This window comes from Homo sapiens, chromosome 19, assembly GCF_000001405.40.
Source record: "Homo sapiens chromosome 19, GRCh38.p14 Primary Assembly".
In the NCBI taxonomy this organism is placed as follows: domain Eukaryota; kingdom Metazoa; phylum Chordata; class Mammalia; order Primates; family Hominidae; genus Homo; species Homo sapiens.
Window position 1 is genome coordinate 13,976,904 of NC_000019.10, and position 16,038 is coordinate 13,992,941.

The following is a 16,038-nucleotide window of genomic DNA, read 5'->3' on the forward strand; positions in this document are numbered from 1 at the left end:
GAGGTAAGAGGATTGCTTGAGCCCGTGAGCTGCAGTGAGCCCTGATCGCGCCACTGCTCTCTGGCCTGGGCGACAGAGTGAGACCCTGTCTCAAAAAAAACAGAAAAAAAAAGTCCAGTGCGGTGGCTCATGCCTGTAATCCCAGCACTTTGGGAGGCTGAGACGGGTGGATCACGAGGTCAGGAATTGAAGACCAGCCTGACCAACATGGTGATACCCCATCTCTACTAACAACACAAAAATTAGCTGGGTGTGGTGGTGTGTGCCTGTAATCCCAGCTACCCGGGAGGCTGAGACACGAGAATCACTTGAACACAGGAGGCAGAGGTTGCAGTGAGCCGAGATCACACCACTGCACTCCAGCCTGGCGATAGAGCAAGACTCCATCTCAAAAAAAAAAACAAAAAAAAAGAAAAAAATGGATAGAGGGCTAGAGTTTCTGTTCTTAGAGTATCTCTGGAAAGAAACAAAGAAACAGGTCACAGCATCCTCTCTGGGACAGGGTTGAGAGTCAAATGATTTTTTTTTTTTGAGATGGAGTGTCACTCTATTGCCCAGGCTAGAGTACAGTGGCACGATCTCAGCTCACTGCAACCTCCGCCTCCTGGGTTCAATCAATTCTTCTGCCTCAGCCTCCCGAGTAGCTGGAATTACAGGTGCCTGCCACCACTCCTGGCTAACTTTTGTATTTTTAGTAGAGACAGGGTTTCACCATGTTGGCCAGGCTAGTCTTGAACTCCTGACCTCAAGTGATCTGCCCGCTTAGGCCTCCCAAAGTGCTGGGATTACAGGCGTGAGCCACCGTGCCTGGCCTTTTTTTTTTTTTTTTGGTTAAAAACCAGGCTCATTTGACTCCCAAGCCCTAAGCTATGCCGGGGTGCCTTTCCCAACCTTCAAGGGTCCCTCTGCTTCGCCACTTTTCGTGGCTGTGGCTGCCCCTGGGGAGTGCCCACCTGTGTGTCTGTCACCTGAGGCCTTGAAGGCCGGATGGCCTGCTGGGGGCTGGGACTGGGGACTGGTGTCCTGGGAGACTGGGGAGGCTCCAGTGCAGACCTGACTCCCTCACCCACCCCTCTCCCTTCACTTACATGGCACTGGCCGTGTAGCTGGCATCGCCGCCCTCCACATACTGCACCTGGCTGGAGTACACGTGTGGGACGGGCACCTGCTGGAGCTGCTGCACCTGGGGCAGAGGAAGGGCACGTGGAGGGTCAGGGGTGGGCCAGCTCCTACGGTTCTCCCTCTAAAGGGCTGGTGCCCACCCAGGCTATCCCTGACGCCCAGCTCCCGGACCCAAGGGTGGCTTCTGGACTCTCAACAAAACACCCTGGAGGAGGCCAGGGCTGGGAATCAGGAAGAGCTGTGTCAGGAGAAGCCAGGACTCTCGGCTTCGGCTGGGGCCAGCAAGGGTGGGGCCTGACGGACAGTGGAGGGGACCCGAGACAGGGTCCTGTAGTGGGCGTGAAGGTTGGACCCCAGGCACAGGGGCAAGGCTATCGCTGGAGCCATGGAGCTACAGAAAGGGCCTCAGGGGTGGGGCCTGGAAACCGGGCACAGGATGTGAGGGGCGGAGCCTGGGGCCCCGGTTGGTGGGACAGAACCTGGAATCACTGACAGGGCCTTAGGGGCGGGGCCTGAGTCCCCCACCTCCATCCCCCACCCTTGTCTGCAGGGGCGGAGCTGGGACCTGGACGGGGCTTGGGTGGGGAGTCAGAGGCGGGTCCCTAGACCGACCCGTCGGGCGGAGGTGGGGTCTACAGGGCTTGCGGGGCCTGGTGGGCGGCCCAGACTGGGCGCCCCCGCCCCCGCCCGCCCGCTGCCCCCCGCCCGTGCGTCCGCCACCTACTTTGAGGGCCGTGGCGGCCGTGCCGAACACTAGCACCTGGGGGATTCTCTGGATCCTGACCCTCTGGTCGGGGCTGGCTCGGGCCGGGAGCCGGGACAGTGGCTCGAAGACCACTTTCTGCTGCGGCAGGAGCAGGTGTGGGGGCAGCACGCCCACCAGCTCCACCCACTGCTCGGCGCCCGGCTCGTAATGGGGCGGCGGCGGCTCGGGGCTGCCTAGCTGCGGGGCCTCGCCGCTGCACGCGGGCGGCCGGGGCGGCGGCTCCGGCGGCGGCGTGGGCCGGGGATCTCGCTGCTCTGCCTTCCTAGCGGGAAACTGACTGCCTGAGCTCTGGAGGACAAACAGAGACACTGGGGGGTCAACGGGGGCGGCCGCGGGCGGGGCTCCAGGCCTCCACCCACCGGGTTGCTGAGCGCGCACGCAGCCACCCGAGGGAAGATCCCCGCCGCCCGGGGTCTCGGAGAGGGGTTAGAACTGACCCAGGGCCACGCAAGAAAGAAGAGGGGTTTGAATCCAGATCTCTCTTAGCAAAACCTGGACCCTGAGCTGCCAGGGGGCCGGGAAAGGGGAAGGATGTAGGGCAGTGTCTGCAGCTCACAGAGGCATTTCCCTCCCTGCGGCCTCAGGGGCCTGCACTCCCCAGCCCCAGCCCGGGACCAGCCCCTTTGCCCGTGGGGTAGGAGGGGGAGACACACACCTCTTGAGCCACGTGGACTGGCTGGAGGCCCTGCACGGTCAGCGGCTGCACCGGGCCGGGTTTGGGCGCTTGTGGAGTGGCCTGGACCACAGATCTCTGGGAGGGGAAAGGCAACAATAAGATGACCATGGCAACGATGGCCGTCAACCTACCCAGCCCCTGCACAGGTGAGCTTCTGTAAAGCTCACAGCAGACCCATAAGCAAGAGGCCACCATTCTCCAGCCAAGCAAGGAGGGTGCTGGATCCATTACTGATAAAGTGAGGCTCCCAGGAAGCAGCAGGGCTGAGTTGAACCTGGGACTAACTTCGGGGTCTCTGCTCTCCGCCCCCTCTCCCTACGGGCCCCTGAAGCTGTGCCAAGAACCCGCAGGCAAGGCCTTGGGTTATCTTTCGTCCCCACACCCCCCAATGTCAACTGTGTGCCCTGTTCTGTGCTGTGGCGGGCATGCGGGGATTATCCTAGGGGCGCAGAGCCAGGGACGGAGGCTGGCGGAGGAGGGTGCTGAGTGGAGGAGCTGGGGCCTGGACCTAGGTCTGGAGGTTCGGGGGGGCTCTAGTGCCAGGCGGGGGAGTATCTGTGAAACCTCTGGGACAGGGTTTCTGTTTACACTTGGGGAAGGGTCTATGGATTTCATCTGTTTTTTCAAGGGGCTTGGAACCCCCTCAACTTCAGTGGTAACAACCAGATGGTGCGCAGCCCCAGCATCTTAACCTGCGCCGGCTCAGGGCTCTGCCTCCTGCAGAGGCTGGGTGTGGATTTGGGGGCTGGGTCCCCTCCCTGAAATCCTCCCCAGAAGGAGCCAGGATGTGGCCTCGGGGCTTCCTTCAGGCAAATGGGCCCAAAGAGGCTCAGGTGGCTTCTCCAAGCGGTTCCCATGGCCCACTACGCCCCAGTCTCCTTCCAGGAGGTTCAAATTTCGTCCTCCCCGCGGCTCCCCCATCCTCTAGCCCCAGGATGCTGAGTCTGGAGACAGGCAGAGATGCTTATCAAAGGCCAGGGTGGCAGGCTGGGGCTGGACCCACATGGGCTGGGCTCTAATAGGCCAGAGGCACAGCCGTGGGGGGCTGCAGAGGCTGCCTGGCCGGTACCCCTGGACCGAGCCACTGCCCGCCTTGGCCTGGCACCTCTTGGGTGACGGGGACACTCTGCTGGACGCCGTGGACCTGCAGCTGCTGTGGCACTGTGCCCGTGGGGGCCCCGGCTGTCTTGCTGGAAGAGCTGTTGGCCTGCACCGGCGACTGCTGTAAGGGAAGGAGACACAGGAGTGCCGCTGGGGTGGGCTTGCATCCTCTCTGAGGTGGGCTCACACACACACCCTTCTCAGGAGAGCTGTCTGGGGAGGGCGGCAGTCTGTGGGGACCTATCCCAACCACCGAGGCTGGTAACTGACCGCGTCCCACGCATCCAAATGCCTACTCCCTGCAACAGTCCCAGTCAACTCCCAGCAATGATGGGGGTTTAACCCTCCCCAGCAAGGTTGGCTGATGGTGGGTGGTGCCGCCAGCACCCCTGAAGCTCTCCTGGGGCTGACCCTCAAAGGTTATAGCAATGACGACAGCAGCCTCTGGTGTGATATTGGGCCGACTCCCACCAGACACTGCACTGAGCGCTTTAAATGTACTCACTGGAATCTCATGGCACCCCCACTTCCCAATGGAGGGGCAGAGGGGAAGGGACAAGCCCTGGGTCACATGGCTGCAGGCGATGAGGCACAGGGCTGAGCCCAGGCAGGCTGGCCATAGAGCCCCATGTCTGCTCTGAGCCCTACTGTGCCTCAGGCTGTAATTCCCACAGCAAGCTGAGGGGTGGTTGATACCATCAGTTGTTTGACACAGAGAAAACTCAGGGCTCAGAAGGCTCAAAGGGGCCGGGCATGGTGGCTCACGCCTGTAATCCCAGCACTTTGGAAGGCTGAGGTGGGCAGATCACCTGAGGTCAGGAGTTCAAGACCAGCCTGGCCAACATGGTGAAACCCCATCTCTACTAAAAATACAAAAATTAGCAGGGCGTGGTGGCGCATGTCTCTAATCCCAGCTACTCGGGAGGCTGAGACAGGAGAATCGCTTGAACCCAGGAGTCGGAGGTTGCAGTGAGCTGAGATCGCACCACTTCACTCCAGCCTGGGGGACAGAGCGAGATTCTGTCTCAAAAACAAAACAAAACAAGGCTCAGAGGCCTGCCTAGAGTCCCACGAGAGGAAGTGGCTGGGCCAGCCATCTGACCCCGAGCTCCTGATGCAGACAGCATCCACAGCCTGTCTTCAACACCCTCATTGGTGTTGTGGGTCCCCAGAATCTACCCTGTGGTCCAAGGCTTCCTGGAAGAGACTGTCCCACCCTCCGGGGGGAAGAGGAACCCACTTTGTTTCTCGGAATGCAGTTCCCTGAGCTGGAGCTGCCAGGACCATCTCAACCCAGGAAATCACCTCCTTCTCCCAGAGCAGAGCTCCACGGCCGCTTAGCTCAGAGCTGGCAGGGCCAGGAATTGGGCAGCTAAGCCACCCTACCTGGGGTCAACAAGGGCGTTGCACTGGGAGTGAAGAGGGAAGCAGGACTTTGGAGGAGCAAGTGGGCTTGGGGGGCGGGGCAGGGAGCCCCAAATATACTATGGGGATACATTGCTGACCTCGGGAGACAGCAGGGGGGAGGGCGGCCAACAGGACCACCACTTACCTCTGGGGGCGAGTGCACCTGCTGGGTACCATGGACCGTCAGGGAGACCTGGCCACCTTTGCTGCCTGGGGCTGCGCTCTGCACCACCAGACGCTGCGTGGGAAGAGCCTGGGGCCAGGGAGGGAGAGGGAGGGCAGATCACTGATGACAGCCCGTGCAGTTGCACCGAGCATCTGCGCAGTGCCAGGTGACATTCTAAGTGCTTCACGCCTGTTAGCTCACAGAATCGCCCTGACAGCCCTGATGAAGCTCGGCTACTGCCCCCACTTCACAGAGGGTGACACCAAGGCTCAGGACGGCAAAGGCACTTATCTGAGGTCCTAAAGCCAGGAAGCGGCAGAGCCGGAGTTGTTGTCAGGCCATGTGGAATGTGCTGTCATCCTTAAAACCCAATAGTCCTAGGCTGGGTGTGGTGGCTCACACCTGTAATCCCAGCACTTTGGGAGACTGAGGCGGGCAGATCACCTGAGGTCAGGAGTTCGAGACCAGCCTGGCCGACATGGTGAAATCTTGTTTCTACTAATAATACAAAAATTAGCCAGGTGTGGTGGTGCACACCTGTAGTCTCAGCTACTCAGGAGGCTGAGGCAGGAGAATCACTTGACCCTGGGAGGCGGAGGTTGCAGTGAGCCGAGATCGAGCCATTGTAAAACCCAACAGTACTTTGTCCAGATCTGCGCTGATCAGTCGGAAACGGGTGTGCGCGGCACCTCATGCGCAGCCTTCTGGGGGACAGACCACCCTGTGCTGGCTGTGGACTCCTGACTCTAAACCTGGCCTTGGGTTCTCTGCTTCGGGACACTGGGTTGGACCCGCAAACCACCTTCCCAACTATACATCTTGTTCTCTCTGCTGAGATGGCTCCTGCAGCTCCTCTGTCCCTGATGGCCCCTGCCGGATAGTCTCACCCTGGGGAGGTGACTGCCCAGAGCCAGGAGGTAGGGCAGCCCCTGGATGGGGACTCTTCCCTCCATCCTGGTGAGGACAGATCCAGGCTTGCCACAGGGGGTTGGTCCTCCACCCTGAGGGAGCCTTCCAGGGTGGTGGCCAGGTGCAGCAGCATTACCTGCTGGGGCACTTGGATGTTGGTCAGCTGGAGGGGCGACACGTGGCCTGGCTTGGCCTGCACGCTCGTCTGGACCAGCAGCCGCTGTGGAGACAAGGCAGGAGGAGCTGAGCTGCCACTTCCCCCAGGGAGGCCTGGCGTGGTTGGGTGGCGGGCGGCTGCTGTGCACATCTTGATAAGAACAGGTGAGCAGATGGCTCCAGCAGGAAGCGGGGAGGGGAGGTGAGGCCCCCGAGGACGCAGCCTGCACTGCCCCCCTCCCGGGCCCTCCCCCACCCCCTGGGAGGGCCACATCCTACCTGCTGGGTGCCCTGCACCTGCTGAACCACCTGAGTAGGAACGCCGGTCTGGCTGGCGGTGGAGCCGGGGCTGGCCTCCGACACTGTCTCGCTGGCCCGCATGGCACCTTCTGTGGGGAGGGGCCACCAGGTCAGTTCTTCCTGCTTTCCCTGCCCCCAGCCTAAGCCTGAGCCCCCCTGGAGGGGAAGATGCAGCCTGAAGCCAACCCCCAGCAAGGTCAGGCCCCTCCAAGAGTCCTGCTTCCCCCTGGCCAGCCCTGACTGCACCCATCAGGGGCCCACGTGGCAGAGCGGGCTGAGGCTTGCAGGACCCAGGATCCTTAATACCTGGCAGCAGCCCTCATCAGCTTTCCTCATCCTGAAGTCAGACCAGATAGGGTGACTGAAGAGCTATGATGCTCAAAACCCAGAAGGCTGGACCCTTCCCAGCAGACGGGACTTGTGGACAGGCAGGGAACTGACTGTCCACTCCAGGGTCCTGGCAGCGCTGGAAGGATCGAGGTGCTGGGGCCACCTTCTCTGGGGTGACCCTGGCTTCCCGGGAGTGGAAGCTGCTCGGAGGAGTGGTCCCTGGAAGGTCTTGCTAGCCTGTGGCCAAGTCCTCCCTCCCTGCCCCTCTGTCCTCAGTGGGGTGGGGACCACAAGGGGCTTGGAGTGGGGGAGGCAGGTACTCACGCTGACAGGCAGCTGAGAAGAGACAATCATAGAACATGGTGCTCATCCCCTCCCCCACCCCACCCGCCCCCCACCCCGTCCGCCTGTCCGTCCAGGGGGGCCTGCCTGGCCCTCTTTGCTCCTTGCCTGCCTCTATAGAACAGCAGGGTGTGCAGGTGGCTTTATACCCACGACCTTGGGGCGCTAATCCCCCCGGTGGATGCAGAGAGCCTGCCTGCCCTCTTGGAAAAACACTCCCCTCCCCAGCAAAGCGGGGCCTTCGCGGGGCTGGGGCAGCGCTGCGGGGTGAGGAGGGAGGTTGGTACCCGGAGATGCTATCAGGCAGGCACAGGTCAAATTTCATGCACATCTTGCTGAGTGATTAGCAGGGGTGCTGGGGGTAGAGGCGAGTGTTCCCAAGAGGCGCTGGCTAGAAGACCCTCACCCCAGCTGGGACACCATCCATCCCATCCCCTCCATGTGACCTGGCATACCCCCAGCAGCTCCAGAGGCCGAGGTGGGGCTGGGGGTGGACATGTACCTGCCCTTCCTCCACCATCAAGGAGCCAAGGTCCCAGGCCCACCTTTCTTGGGGATTTAGAGGGGTTTATCCGACCCCCGGCAGGACTGAAGGGCCACGGGCAAGGAGTTATCACTGCAGACACTAGTGTTGCTTCTGGCACACTAGGTGTTATGTTAGACTCTGGACAGCCAGAGATAGAGCTTTTTTGTTTTTTTGAGACAGGGTTTCGCTCTGTCACCCAGGCTGGAGTGCAGTAGCACGATCTTGGCTCACTGCAACCTCTGTCCCCTGGGGTTCAAGCAATTATCCTGCCTCAGCCTCCCAAGTAGCTGGGACTACACGCATGCACCACCATGTCCGGCTAATTTTTGTATTTTTAATAGGGACTGGGGTCTTGCTATATTGCCCAGGCTGGTCTCGAACTCTTGGACTCAAGCAATCCACCTGCTTCCATCTCCCGAAGTGCCGGAATTACCGGCGTGAGCCACTGTGCCTGGCTGACAGTAAGAGCTTTCCGGGATTTTTTTTTTTTTTTGAGACAGGGTCTCACAGTTGCCCAGGCTGGAGTGCAGTGGCGCAATCTCTGCTCACTGAAATCTCCGCCTCCCGGTTCAAGTGATTCTCCTGCCTCAACCCACTGAGTAGCTAGGACTGCAGGCACCCGCCACCACGCCCAGCTAATTTTTGTGGTTTTAGTAGAGACGGGGTTTTGCCATGTTGGCCAGGCTGCTCTTGAACTCCTGGCTTCAAGTGATCCGCCCGCCTCGGTCTCTCAAAGTGCTGGGATTACAGGCATGAGCCACTGCACCTGGCTGACAGTAAGAGCTTTTATTACCCATTTTCAGACAAGGCAACAGAGACCAGAAGCAAGGAAGTGATCTGTCCAAGGTCAAATGCACCATCCACCGTGCAGGCCATGACGCAGGTTCCCCTCTGGGCCCACACGAACCTCATACCACATATGGAACCGGAGTCACTGGTTCTGCCTGGGCTGCGCCCCAAGGGCAGTGATGTGTGAACTTGGGTATATGGGCACAGGAAGGAAAGTAAGCTGGGGGTCTACGGGGACCCCTCAAAGTCTGAAGTATCCAGACTGGGTCTCGGCTGTCCAGGCAGGGCACAGGAGGGAGAGGGGCCTGGACAGGGCAGGAGGGCTATTCAGGGCAGATGCAAAGGCCAAGTCAAGGGCAGAGCGCAGGAGTGTGTGTTGGGGGCGGGGGTTGCCAGATGTGGGAGGTGTTGGGGGAGGCCTCCGCGTAGCCGCATGTGGGCTGTGGGGCATTTGGTCAATCCCATGCCTGCCTGACCAGCTACCTGTGCAGCCAATTCCACAGGCCCTAATCCCTGTGTTTTGCTGGAATCTTCCCTGGCATCTGCTTTAGGCTTCCCAGCCCTGAGCCATAAGGGAGGAGGCCCTTGCTGAGAGGGCCCCTCCTGGGAGAAACCCGAGACAGCCCCGAGTCATGTGACCGGCACTGCACACCTGGGTCCGTGGGGTCCAAGGACTCAGGCCCAGCCTAAGGGATGGTGTCTCACCCAGGAAGCTCAAGGTGGGCAGGGAGTGGGGGGCTGGCCCCCCACCCTCTCCAGGGCTCAGGGGCTGGTCGCTGAGCAGGACCTACAGCAGGAGGAGGCCTGGGGACCTGCTGAGACCAGGTGGCTGTCTCCAGGAAGCAGCCTTGCCCGTCTCCTGCCTCTGGGGTAGCCCTCAAGGCTGGGACCCCGCCTGCCAGCCCAGGAGGGCGCCAGGGGATGCGCCACGAGGCTAACAGGTGAGCCTGAGTGACTCATGCGGATGAGGGCTTCCTGTGCAGCCATCCCTGTCTGCCTGCGGCCGGGGCAGGGCCCCTCCACCACTGGGTCTGGCCCTCGCTGTGTTTCAGGGAGGAGAAGCCAGGAGGGGAAGTGGGGGGTGGCACTGAGTCTGCGAGCGAGCGTCTGCATCTATCTGCCGGAGATCGCCACTCTGGGCATGCGCAGGAGGCCAGGGAGGCCCCCACTGTCTCAGGAAACGGCGGCCGATTTCCTGTCTCTGAATCTGACACATTAACATCTCTGAGCAGTGGAATGACTCTGACAAGTGGGCACCCATCCTCCCCGGGCCCCGCACTTCCCCATCTAGACCTACTCAAACCTTAAATGAGCTACTTGGGGGAGCCCAGGGGAGGCCCTAGAGGCTGGACTCCTGGCATCCACCCTGGGGGCCTGGCCCCCTTCCCCATAGACAGATGGGGCCACCTGACCCTCTGCCTCCTGCCCCTGGGCTCCCTGGGATGATGTCAGTCAGGGGCTCCTGGAGGGGCCCCTGCTGCCCCCAGTGTCCTCTATCCCTTGTCTGCTCCAACCTCAGTTTCCCCATCTGTGCTTGGGAATGCTGACAAACACACTCCACTTCTCTGTCTGGACACAAGTCTTCTTGGCCCCCCTAGAACTCCAAGTGAGAGAGAAGCAGGGAAGAAGGGCCGGACTCGGCCCCTCCTTCGGGGCGGCCCCTGTTCCCTGCAGGCCGGCTCGGTTTCACCTTCCCAGGAGTGGCTGCCAGAGCCCACAGCACTCTCCTTCCGCCTTGGGTTCTGGGAGAGTCTGATGGCCTCTGAGGACAGGGATTTATGGATCTAGTATTGTTCCTGACCAGGGAAACTTGATCTTCCTTCCTACCACCTCCAAAGTCACCTTTAGGCAGGGCAGGCAGGGACCGGGGCTGGGTGAGCTGTGTCTGGTTTGGTGTCGGCTGGTGTCCAGCCCCAGGCTCCAAGTCTGGGTCCAGGCCCCTCCCTTCCTCTTCCCTGCCACCTCCCTGGGTCCCTGGTCAGCTCCGATTGCTCCTGGCTTGGGAGAAGTCCTAGGTGCCTTGTGGCAGCCTTCACTGGTGTCAGTTACTCCTGCTTCCCCGGCGCTCACGTGGCCCCGGCCACCCTTAGATGAGGAAGGACGCTAACCTGGCAGAGGGTCAGGGAGGAAGGCTGGGGAGTTACTGCAAGGGGTGGGGGAGGGGACAGCTGGCAGGGCACAAGCCAACCTCCTCTTCCTCAGAACAAATCCAGGAAGCATTGCCCAGTGACCCTTCTGGGGACAGGCTGGCACCTGCCAGAATGTGGAGTGGCAGGGAAATGAAATTCCCTGGGACCACTGTGAAAGGCGACTAAGCTACCGCCTGACCAAAGTGAGCCCCAGAGAGTTCTGTGGACAGCAGGGTTGCTACAGCCTGCCCTCATGGGTACAGAGTACCCTCCTGGGAACACTACCAAGATGGGGGAGACAGAGGCCACCTCCCCATGCCTAACAGCTACTTAGAGTCCGGCCTAGCTCTGTCTGACCCAAAGACCATGCCTTGCTCTTGACTTGCTCTTGACTTCTTGCTCTTTTTTTTTTTTTTTTTTTTGAGACAGAGTCTTGCTCTGTTACTCAGGCTGGAGCGCAATGACATGATCTCGACTCACTGCAACCTCCACCTCCCAGGTTCGAGCGATTCTCCTGCCCCAGCCTCCCCAGTAGCTGGTGCTACAGGCACACGCCAACACGCCGGGCTAATTTTTGTATTTTTATTAGAGACGGGGTTTCATCATGTTGGCCAGGCTGGTCTTGAACTCCTGACCTCAGGTGATCCGCCTGCCTCAGCCTCCCAAAGTGCGGGGACTTGGTCTTGACTTTGAAGCACCAGGGCCCCCCTGAGGGAGTGCGGGAAGAGCTGGAGAAGCCAAGGTCAAGAGTGGAAGGACTTGGGGAGTGGTGGAGCCTGGAGCTGTGTGCCCACTCCAGACCCTGGCTCTAGGGAGCCTGGACCCTGAAGCAGGTAAGACCCACACCCAGGGCGTGGATCAGGACCCATCAGACACTCTGGGCGCCAAGCAGAGCCATCCACTGGTGACATGCGAGGCCTCCTGCAAACAGTCAGCCATGCAGGAGCTGATGGGACATGATGGCTGTGCTAGGTGCTCCTCTAGGCTGTTCTGGGTCAGGCTGGTGCTCCTCAGTCATTCCACAGAGACTGAGCACTGACAGAGCCCTGCCTGCAGGTGGGCACCCCCACCATCCCATTATTGTAACTTCAAGTAGTGTTAAGTGTTAAGAAGACCAGCGGGGCGCAGTGGCTCACACCTATAATCCCAGCACTTTGGGAGGCCGAGGCAGGCAGATTACTTGAGGTAAGAAGTTTGAGACCAGCCTGGCCAACATGGCAAAACGCCATCTCTACCAAAAAATACAAAAATTACCCTGGTGTGGTGGTGCGCCCCTGTAATCCCAGCTACTCGGGAGGCTGAGGCAGGAGAATCGCTTGAACCCAGGAGGCAGAGGTTGCAGTGAACTGAGATCGCACCACTGCATCCGGCCTGGGTGACACAGCGAGACTTTGTCTCAAAAACAAACAAACAAGAAGACAGAGAGTGAGCAATGGGGGTAGGGGCAGGGAGGTGTGGAGTCAGAAAGGTAGTGTCTGAGCAGCGACCTAAGGGAGACAAGAGGCAAGCTCCCAGAGGGTCTGGGGCAGGGAGTGCTCCTGGCAGAGGGTACCGAGAGTGCAAAGGTCAGGAGGCAGGACTGAGCCTGGCGGGTTTGTGGAGCTGTAGGAAGGCAAGAGGGGCTGGACCAGGTATGTGAGGGGATGGGTGGAAGTGGGCGAGGCTGGGAGGCTGGCAGGCCAGAGTTGAAGGGGCTTGACATTTGCTAGTAGGGGCACAGGGTGTGTGGAGCATTTTTGCATTTTGTTTTTGTTTTTTTGTTTTTGAGACGGAGTTTCACTCTTGTTGCCCAGGCTGGAGTGCAATGGTGCAGTCTTGGCTCACTGCAACCTCCACCTCCTGGGTTCAAGCGATTCTCCTGCCTCAGCCTCCCAAGTAGCTGGGATTACGGCGCCCACCACCACACCCAGCTTAGAGAGAGAGAGAGAGAGACAGACAGACAGACAGACAGACAGACAGAGAGAAAGAGAGTGTGTGTCTGTGTGTGTAGCTTTTAAAGTCCTTTTTTGTCAGGTATCGGGGGAGGGGAAGGAGCCTGCTCTCCCAGAGCTGAGAAAGCCTAGGCTGGGGTTTCTCAAAGAGTGCCCATGGAACCACCTGGCTTGGAGCCATCAGGGTTGAGCTAGGATGTGACGGGACCTAATGGACAGTTGTGAACCTGCTCCCTCTGGCTGCTGGGAGGGGTCAGACTGTGAGGGCGGAGGCTCGACCAGGATTGGGGTCATAGAAGTGGAAGAGGCGGGGGGGGTTCTGGAAGAGTTTAGGAGGTGGAGCCGAGAGGTCTTACTCAAGGAGGAGTAGGACAGAAACAAGACTGACCGTGGGCCTGGGAGGATGAGAAAGCCTTGAAGGAGAGATTTGAAGAGGGAAAAATGCAGAATTCAATGTGGCTGCACTGGCCTGCATCAAATTCAACACCAAGTGGATGAGTCAGGAGGGGCTGGATGTGGGGTCCTGCGGTTCAGGGTTGCAGCCCAGGCTGGAGACCTCAGTGTGGGTAATGAGAGCTGGGACACAGGATGAGGCCATCGTTAAGGGAGAACTACAGGAGCTAAGAGAGGTTCCCAGGTCTGAGTCTGGGGCTCCCCGTCCTTTGCTGACAAGGTCAGGGAGATGGGGAGAAGCAGCAGAGAGGACCACGGAGGGGCTGCGGGCGGTGGGCGGAGACCAGGGCAGTGTGGGCTCCTGGAGGCCTCACAAGAGGGGATCTTTGGGAAAAAGGGGGCCAGCTGCAGGGGGTCCAGCAGCTGGAGGTTCCTGGAGAAAATGGGGGCTTGGCTGGGCGCGGTGGCTCACACTTGTAATTCCAGCACTTTGGGAGGCTGAAGTGGGAGAATTGTTTGAGGCCAGGAGTTCAAGACCAGCCTGGGCAACATAGTGAGACTCTGTCTCTACAAAAAAATTAAAAGATTAGGCCGGGCGCGGTGGCTCACGCCTGTAATCCCAGCACTTTTGGAGGCCGAGGCGGGTGGATCACGAGGTCAGGAGATCAAGACCATCCTGGCTAACACAGTGAAACCCCGTCTCTACTAAAAATACAAAAAATTAGCCAGGCATGGTGGCGGGCACCTATAGTCCCAGCTACTTGGGAGGCTGAGGCAGGAGAATGGTGTGAACCCCGGAGGCAGAGCTTGCAGTGAGCCGAGATCCTGCCACTGCACTCCAGCCTGGGTGTCAGAGCGAGACTTTGTCTCAAAGAAAAAAAAAAAAATTACCTGGGTGTGGTGGCACATGCCTATAGTCCCAGCTACTTGGGAGGCTGTGAGAGTATCACTGAGCCCAGGAGTTGGAGGTTACAGTGAGCCATGATTGCACCATTGCACTCCAGCCTGGGCGACAGAGCAAGACCCTGTCTCAAAAAATAAATACATAAAAAATAAACAAAATGGGTGCTGTTCCACCTTGATGGGTGGATGGGAAGATCTGCAAGAGGGGGATTAAGTGATGCAGAAGGAACTAGAAGGAGCAATGGCAGGAGCGTGTTCTGGATATGGGTGGTGCTGCTTAATCCAAGAAGGCAAAGGTGGTGGGTGCAGATGCACCCCAGGAGCTGGGCAGGAGAAGGGGTCCCTGTGGCTGCCTGATGGTACTCTGTCCCCAGTAAGGTTGCCTGCAGGGTCAGGGACCAGGATCATAGTATAAGACAAAGGTGATGGAGGTGAAGGTGGGGCAGAGGGAGAATGGGTTTCTTGGAGCATGAAGTTCACTGTTAAGGAAATGCTGCAGGATTTCTGAGGGGTGCTGAGAACCCACCAGAGGTTTGTGGCCTGAAGACCCTGCCCATGACTGCAGCCCGACCTCAACCAGGGCAGGGCTGTGTCTACACAGGCGGGGGGGCACTAAGTGTGGCGCTCATGCGGACACCTCCACTCCGTCCATATAGTAAAGAGTCACTGCCCTGAGTCCCTGCATGTTCCCGCCCCAAACCTCTGCCAGAGACCCTGGACCTCCCACGCAGACACTGCCAGAAGCCTCTGGGACACTGCCCAGGGCTCCAGCCCCATCTGCTTTGTTCCACAACGGGGCCAATTGCTACACTTTTCATTACTTTTTTTTTGAGATGGATTCTCGCTCCGTTACCCAGGCTGGAGCGCAGTGGCACGATCTCAGCTCACTGCAACCTCTGCCTCCGGGTTCAAGTGATTTTTCCTGCCTCAGCTTCCTGAGTAGCTGGCATTACAGGTTCGCGCCACCACGCCCAGCTAATTTTTATATTTTTAGTATAGATGGGGTCTCACCATGTTGGCCAGGCTGGTCTCGAACTCCTGACCTCAAGTGATCCACCTGCCTCGGCCTCCCAAAGTGCTGGGGTTATAGGTGTGAGCCACCACACCCGGCCAATTGCTACATGTTTTGATGACTCTTTATGACCTGATGGTCCCCAATCCCATCTTGACCCACCCCTTCCACAGCCCCTCAGGATGCCCTGATGATCTCACCCCTTCCATTCCCACTCTGAGAAGGACCAGGGCCAGCTTTGATCCGGGCTCCCACTGAGGCCTCCGTCCACCACAGAGCACATTAAAAACACACTAGCTGTGCACAGTGGCAGGCGCCTGTAGTCCCAGCTACCTACAAGGCTGAGGCAGGAGAATCACTTGAGCCCAGGAGTTCGAGGTCAGTCTGGACAGCATAGCAAGACCCCATCTCTAAACCAAAAAAACACACGAATCTAGCCTAATGCCCAGGCTGTGCTGCCATTCCCACCAGAGCACTGAGTCAGTCGAGACAGAGACCCAGCCCTCAGGCAGACCCTAAACCAGTCAAAACATCGTCACTATGTTTACTGTGGGAAATGCTCAGAGGGCAACAGGTCTGTCCAAGATGGCCTGCTCTCAACACAGGTCCTGCGTGCCTTAGCTTATGTCATGAGAAAGAAAAGCAAAAATAAAGAAAAGGGCCAGTCCCTGGATCCTGCCCAAAACAACAGGGCGGCTGCTCTAGGAAGGGGAGGTGACATGTCCAGGCCCTCACCCCCAGCTGACCTCCCTGAAGTGCCCACTCAAGGCCATCCTGGCTATGAGACCCTCGCATGCGTCCCCTGAGAGAGAGGAGCTATGATGATCCCATCACAAATGAGGAAACCAGAGCAGGGAGGCCAAAAGACTGGTGTGTAGCCAGGCCAGGCCTCTGTCTCCCACAGGTGCATGCAAACTTTGATGCCACTGCCCAAACCCTTCTTCCAGTGACATCTTATTTGCAAAGAGAGGTCAGAACAGCTCTAAGAGGCTGAGCATGGTGACTCATGCCTGTATTCCCAGCACTTTGGGAGGCTATGGCAGGAGGATCGCTTGAGTCCAGGAGTTTGAGACCAGCCTA

General features: G+C 59.1%; 1 protein-coding gene across 9 annotated transcripts in view, besides 7 other annotated features; it reads right to left on the reverse strand.

Moving 5' to 3' along the window:
- The window catches only part of RFX1 (regulatory factor X1), a 45,287-nt gene that overhangs the window by 15,374 nt on the left and 13,875 nt on the right, over nucleotides 1–16,038 (reverse strand). For 5 of the 9 annotated variants that reach the window (XM_011528170.3, XM_011528167.3, XM_047439192.1 and 2 more), the window contains 7 exons: nucleotides 6,583–6,692; nucleotides 6,284–6,367; nucleotides 5,218–5,325; nucleotides 3,670–3,786; nucleotides 2,544–2,639; nucleotides 1,847–2,176; nucleotides 1,089–1,183 (listed from right to left, as the gene is read on the reverse strand). In XM_011528170.3, coding sequence (XP_011526472.1) covers nucleotides 1,089–1,183; nucleotides 1,847–2,176; nucleotides 2,544–2,639; nucleotides 3,670–3,786; nucleotides 5,218–5,325; nucleotides 6,284–6,367; nucleotides 6,583–6,684 — 932 coding nt within the window. In that variant the 5' untranslated portion in view covers nucleotides 6,685–6,692. The remainder of the gene's footprint in view (nucleotides 1–1,088; nucleotides 1,184–1,846; nucleotides 2,177–2,543; nucleotides 2,640–3,669; nucleotides 3,787–5,217; nucleotides 5,326–6,283; nucleotides 6,368–6,582; nucleotides 6,693–16,038) is intronic. The other 4 variants (XM_047439194.1, XM_047439195.1, XM_047439193.1 and 1 more) reach the window with 1 other exon arrangement.
- Nucleotides 2,597–3,123: an enhancer, noted in NCBI's record as "H3K4me1 hESC enhancer chr19:14090312-14090838 (GRCh37/hg19 assembly coordinates)". NCBI's record gives its function as "activates a minimal SCP1, AML or CMV promoter by ChIP-STARR-seq in naive and primed H9 embryonic stem cells {active_cell/tissue: H9 hESC(naive and primed)}" and the evidence as "EXISTENCE:reporter gene assay evidence [ECO:0000049][PMID:30033119]".
- Nucleotides 3,124–3,650: an enhancer, noted in NCBI's record as "H3K4me1 hESC enhancer chr19:14090839-14091365 (GRCh37/hg19 assembly coordinates)". NCBI's record gives its function as "activates a minimal SCP1, AML or CMV promoter by ChIP-STARR-seq in primed H9 embryonic stem cells {active_cell/tissue: H9 hESC(primed)}" and the evidence as "EXISTENCE:reporter gene assay evidence [ECO:0000049][PMID:30033119]".
- Nucleotides 3,651–4,176: an enhancer, noted in NCBI's record as "H3K4me1 hESC enhancer chr19:14091366-14091891 (GRCh37/hg19 assembly coordinates)". NCBI's record gives its function as "activates a minimal SCP1, AML or CMV promoter by ChIP-STARR-seq in naive H9 embryonic stem cells {active_cell/tissue: H9 hESC(naive)}" and the evidence as "EXISTENCE:reporter gene assay evidence [ECO:0000049][PMID:30033119]".
- Nucleotides 6,053–6,579: an enhancer, noted in NCBI's record as "H3K27ac-H3K4me1 hESC enhancer chr19:14093768-14094294 (GRCh37/hg19 assembly coordinates)". NCBI's record gives its function as "activates a minimal SCP1, AML or CMV promoter by ChIP-STARR-seq in naive and primed H9 embryonic stem cells {active_cell/tissue: H9 hESC(naive and primed)}" and the evidence as "EXISTENCE:reporter gene assay evidence [ECO:0000049][PMID:30033119]".
- Nucleotides 8,338–9,229: an enhancer, noted in NCBI's record as "NANOG-H3K27ac-H3K4me1 hESC enhancer chr19:14096053-14096944 (GRCh37/hg19 assembly coordinates)". NCBI's record gives its function as "activates a minimal SCP1, AML or CMV promoter by ChIP-STARR-seq in naive and primed H9 embryonic stem cells {active_cell/tissue: H9 hESC(naive and primed)}" and the evidence as "EXISTENCE:reporter gene assay evidence [ECO:0000049][PMID:30033119]".
- Nucleotides 9,256–9,305: an enhancer, noted in NCBI's record as "active region_14151". NCBI's record gives its function as "activates an Ori minimal core promoter by ATAC-STARR-seq in GM12878 lymphoblastoid cells {active_cell/tissue: GM12878}" and the evidence as "EXISTENCE:reporter gene assay evidence [ECO:0000049][PMID:35858748]".
- Nucleotides 10,121–11,011: an enhancer, noted in NCBI's record as "H3K27ac-H3K4me1 hESC enhancer chr19:14097836-14098726 (GRCh37/hg19 assembly coordinates)". NCBI's record gives its function as "activates a minimal SCP1, AML or CMV promoter by ChIP-STARR-seq in naive H9 embryonic stem cells {active_cell/tissue: H9 hESC(naive)}" and the evidence as "EXISTENCE:reporter gene assay evidence [ECO:0000049][PMID:30033119]".